Raw genomic sequence first — 5,168 nt, 5'->3', positions numbered from 1 at the left:
TGAGGGCAGGAGTTCAAAACCAGCCTGGGCAACATAGTAAGACCCCATCTCTACAAAAGAATTTTTAAAAATTAGCCAGGCATGGTGGTGCATGCCTGTGGTCCCAGCTACTTAGGAGGCTGAGGCAGGAGCATTGCTTGAGCCCAGGAGGTGGAGGCTACAGTGAGTCCTGATAGGGCCATTGCACTCCAGCCTGGGTGACAGGGTGAGACCCTGTCTCCAAAAAATAAAATAAAATAAAATAAAAATAAAAATAAAAATAAAAAGATTCTGTCTCCAAATACAGCCATATTCTGAGGTCCTGGGGGTGAGAACTTTGGCGTATGAATTTGAGGGAGACACAATTTACCCCATGACGCAGGGCATGAGATTGAAAGGCCTTCGCAATCCAGGCACCATCTTCCTTCCCAAAGCCAGATCCCGGGGGCCATGTGGGGTGTCCTGAAAGCGGGAAAGTTTGCCATGGTGGCCCCCAGTGGAGGTCCTGGCATCCTTGTCTCTGGAGGTCAGAAATTCTTAAAGTAAGCGTGGGCTGCCCTCCCTGCCCTGGGCCTCCTGTCCACTTGAAAGCACACACAGGAGTGGGCTTGGTCCAGGCTGGGGGAGGAGGAAGGTGCCCTGGACCAGGAACCCAAACACCAAGGGAGCAGCAATGGGGAAGTGTTCTGTCCTGGCCCCACACGCTGGCAGACCATGCTGGTGCTCCACACGTCATCACTGTCACAGCAACTCTGCAGGGCAGGAGGTGTGACCCCAGTTCACAGATGAGGAAACAGAGGCTCCTCAAGGACGCAGGGCTCACCCGAGGTCACACTCAGGAGGGAAGAGCTGCATGTGGGCCCACAGGTTCGAGTGCCTGTTATGCAGTCACAGTCCAATGCGCGGAGGCAGCAGGGTTTGCAGCAGAGAAAGAGTTTCAGGATCGCTGGGAGCCAAGCAGGGAGATGGGAGGAGACCCTCAAATCCATCTCCCCAAGGAGTTCTGAACTGGGGTGTTTTGGGTTTTTTTTTTTTTTTTGGTTGTGTTCCAATAAACTTTATTTATGAACACTAAATATTCATGTTAATTTTCATGTATCATAAAAGTCTTTAAAAACAAAGCATTTAAAATTATAAACACAATTCCTAGCTCACAGGACACAGAAAGCAGGCAGCAGGCTGGATTTGGTCCACAGGCCATAGTTGGCTGTCTCTTATACAGGCTTTAATACGTTATGCAAAGTGTTTCAAATTCCAGAGACTTTGGATACTTCTCTTTTTTTTAGATTTCTCATTTTAAAATATATACAATGCAAGTTTTCTTTCTGGATCAATATACTCGCATGAGAGAAAATAATTCAGAAAAAAATATATTTCCTTACTTAAAAAAAGGGAAAGGCACCAGGCATGGTGGCTCATGCCTGTAATCCCAGCACTTTCGGAGGCCAAGGCAGGAGGATCACGAGGTCAGGAGTTTGAGACCAGCCTGGCCAATATGGTGAAACCCCGTCTCTACTGAAAAATACAAAAATTAGCCAGGCACGGTGGTGCACGCCTTAGTCCCAGCTACCCGGCAGGCTGAGGCAGGAGAATGGCTGGAACCTGGGAGGCGGAGGTTGCAGTGAGCCCAGATCACACCACTGCACTCCAGCCTGGGCGACAGGGCGAGACTCTGTCTCCAGAAAAAAAAAAAAAAGGGTAGGGGGAAAGCTGTAAAACAAATGTTTCATCTTAAAATATATAATTAGGCAATGTAAAGTTAAAGATTAGAATGTTTATCCTATGCAACATAAAATAATATGCATAGATCTGGTACATAATTTATTAGTTTTTACTTTAGAAAAAAAGTGAGAAAAAGGTTTATAAATTTCTCAGTCCCTTTTATAAAAAGTTGCAACTAAAACCAGCCATCACTTATGTGTATAACCATCAACTCTGAATATAATATTAATTATACCTAGGAACTGGAATTTACCTAGACGAATTCTGGCTGCTTTTTGAAAAATGCACAATTGTATCACAGAACACTGTGGCTTCTACAATTTGTAACAATTTTGAAAAGGAAACTCCTGCTTCCATAATATAGGGCAACAAGAATACTCTTTCCATAGTCATGATCCTGTGTAAAAAAAAACCTCATAGTCTGATTTACCTTTATCAAAGGTAAAATGATTCACATTTGCATGGATTACTCTGATCCTCAGTAGTTCCTAAACACAAAATACATTTTGCATAAACCTTTATCTGGGTTTTCCAAAGCAAGTATTACACTGGCAGAAGTCCATGACCTGAAGAAAAAGAAATTGAATATAAAAGGTTTACCGACTTTATCCTTTCTAATTTTACGATAGCTTCAGGCGTTGAGACCCAGCTGGTTTCTTGTGCCTATCCATTGTGAACTTCTAACACTTCTCAGTGCCATCTTTTAAAGGTGGTTGCTTTATTTTGCGACGTAGAAAATCCTTTCGTCCAACTTCAATCATTTGTTCTTCCCAAGACTTCATTTCATTATAATAATGAATTTTATCATCTTTAGCAAGTTGAATATATACTTTCTTTTGAGAACCAGACAGATTTTTCCAGTTTTCATTTACAGTCTTCAGCTTTGCCTGCGGTGAACCATCCTTAGCTTCTTGGAAGCTTTCAGCTACATAAATGTTATAAGCTGAACGAGATCATTTTGGTTTTCCAAGCAGTGTTAACTCTCTTTTTTATTAAAGCTTTCCTTTTTAAATGTTCCTGCATGATTTCTTTTTCCAAAGACATAATCTGACTTGGAGTTAGCTGTTCTTGAATTCTGCTTATCTCTTCTTTGTATGCCTGCCAGTCCACCCTATAAGCATCTTCATATATTTTTTTTCTCTGAATTGGGAAGTTCCGTCCAATGCTCAGCGATTCTTCTAATTAGTTCTGTATTTTTTGCATCTGGGTTCTGAGCTTTAAATATGGGTAGTTGTTCTTTAGAAAATCAAAGGTAAGAAGTTACAGGTTTCTTTGGATAACTTGCCAAGACAGGCGAAAACCATTTCCATAAATACATAAAACTGAAGGGGAAGCGCGGTCGACTTCCACAGCTGGTACACAGCTCCGCCAGGACCTTCCCAGGGCCCTCAGCACACCCCACGTGCTTCACACCAGCAGACCAGGCAGTGACCAGGAACCAGTCTCGGAGAGCCTCCTGGCACGACAGAACCACCCCAGCAATGGCAACTCGAACCTGCCTGTGACCCTCCGGAGTTTGTTATCATGCCTGCCACTCGCGAGACACTATGTCATTCAGGCTGGAGTGCAGTGGCGCGATCTCGGCTCACTGCAACTTCCGCCTCCCAGACTCAAGGGATTCTCCTGCCTCAGCCTCCCGAATAGCTGGGATTTCAGGCGCGTGCCACCATGCCAGGCTAATTTTTGTATTTTTAGTAGAGACGGGGTTTCGCCATGTTGGCCAGGCTGGTCTCGAACTCCTGACCTCAGGTGATCCACCCACCTTGGCCTCCCAACGTGCTGGGATTACAGGCGTGAGCCACCGCGCCTGGCCCTGAACTGGGGTTTTTAAGGGGATCATGGAGGGTGAGGGGCTGGGTAACTGGGGTCATTGATGGGTTGGGGTGAGAGGAGTGTAGAAACGGCATTCTTTCGTGAGTCAGTTCCTTGTGGGGTCCTTCGGGTCAGCTGGCATCAGTTGTTTCATTGGTGGGCAGACCTGAAGGAATATCTCAAAGTGAAAACATTTGGTGATGTTCAAGTTGTTATCTGTAGAGTAGTTAAAGGGAGCTATAATCTAGATTCTACATGATTCTAGGACAATAGGCACCCAACAGCTATGAGGAAGTGGATCCGAGAGCAAACGGACCCAGCGATGGACGGTGAATTTGCCACAAGCGTGGTGTATTTTCATTGCTCCCCCTCTTCTTCCCTGATTTATTTTACTATTATTATTATTATTATTATTATTATTATTATTATTATTATTTTGAGACAGAGTTTCACTCTTGTTGCCCAGGCTGGAGTGCAACGGCGCTATCTCGGCTCACTGCAACCTCCACCTCCCAAGTTCAAACAATTCTCCTGCCTGGGCCTCCCTAGCAGCGGGGATTACAGGCACCCACCACCATGCACAGCTAATTTTGCATTTTTAGTAGAGATGGGGTTTCACCATGTTGGACAGGCTGGTCTTGGACTCCTGACCTCAAGTGATCTGCTCACTTTGGCCTCCCTAAGTGCTGGGATTACAGGCGTGAGCCACCGTGCCCAGCCTCTGATTAACTGTATAAAGTTTATAGGGATGGCCAAGCACAGTGGCTCACACCTATAATCCCAGCACTTTGGGAGGCCAAGGAAGGAGGATCACTTGAGCTCAGGAGTTCAAGACCAGCCCGGGCAACTGTGAGACCCCATCTCTATAAAAAAAAAAAAAAAAATAGCAGGGTGTGGTGGTATGCACCTGTGGTCCCAGCTACTCAGGAGGCTGAGGCAGGAGGATCACTTCAGCCCAGGAGGTTGAGGCTGCAGTGATCTACAAGCACGCCACTGCACTCCACATTGGGTAACAAAGAAAGACCCTGTCACACACACACAAAGTGTGTGTGACACTTCAAATGTCAGGCTTCAAATGTATCATGCACCAACAGCCACATGGGCCAACCTTTCTTTCTTTTCTTTTTCTTTTTCTTTTTTCTTTTTTTTTTTTTTTTTTTTGAGACAGAGTTTTGCTGCTCTGTGGCCCAGGCTGGAGTGCAGTGGCCTGATCTCAGCTCACTGCAACATCCGCCTCCCAAATTCAAGCAATTCTCGTGCCTTAGCCTCCCGAGTAGCTGCGACTACAGGCATGTGTCACCAAGCCCGGCTAATGTGTTGTATTTTAGTAGAGATGGGGTTTCACCACGTAGCCCAGGCTGGTGTTGAACTCCTGAGCTCAGGCAATCCACCGCCTTGGCCTCCCAAAGTTCTGGGATTACAGGTGTGAGCCGCCGCACCCAGCCCACATTGGCCCCCTTTCTGATACACACTAAACCTGTTCCTGCTCCAGGGCCTTTGCACTCTCTGTTCCCTCTGCCCGGAGCGTTCTTCCTCCACAACTACCTGTGGCCTCACTGACCGTCCTAGCTAATATCACCCCTCAAGCACCCCGCTCATAATCTTTTCTTTTTTCTTTTTCGAGACGGAGTCTTGCTCTGTTGCTCAGGCTGGAG

The 5,168-nt window shown here is 45.9% G+C and overlaps 1 pseudogene across 1 annotated transcript; it reads right to left on the bottom strand.

Annotated features, from left to right (window-relative positions):
* Nucleotides 1-1,021: 1,021 nt before the first annotated feature.
* TFAMP1 (transcription factor A, mitochondrial pseudogene 1) lies at nt 1,022-3,244 on the bottom strand (annotated as a pseudogene). Its single transcript, NR_001288.1, has one exon. The product of NR_001288.1 is annotated as a transcription factor A, mitochondrial pseudogene 1 (transcript).
* Between the last annotated feature and the right edge of the window lie 1,924 nt (nt 3,245-5,168).

Source organism: Homo sapiens, chromosome 7 (assembly GCF_000001405.40).
Source record: "Homo sapiens chromosome 7, GRCh38.p14 Primary Assembly".
In the NCBI taxonomy this organism is placed as follows: Eukaryota; Metazoa; Chordata; class Mammalia; order Primates; family Hominidae; genus Homo; species Homo sapiens.
The sequence above is the reverse complement of the archived record's forward strand: the minus strand, read 5'-3'. Positions and strand labels throughout refer to the sequence as shown.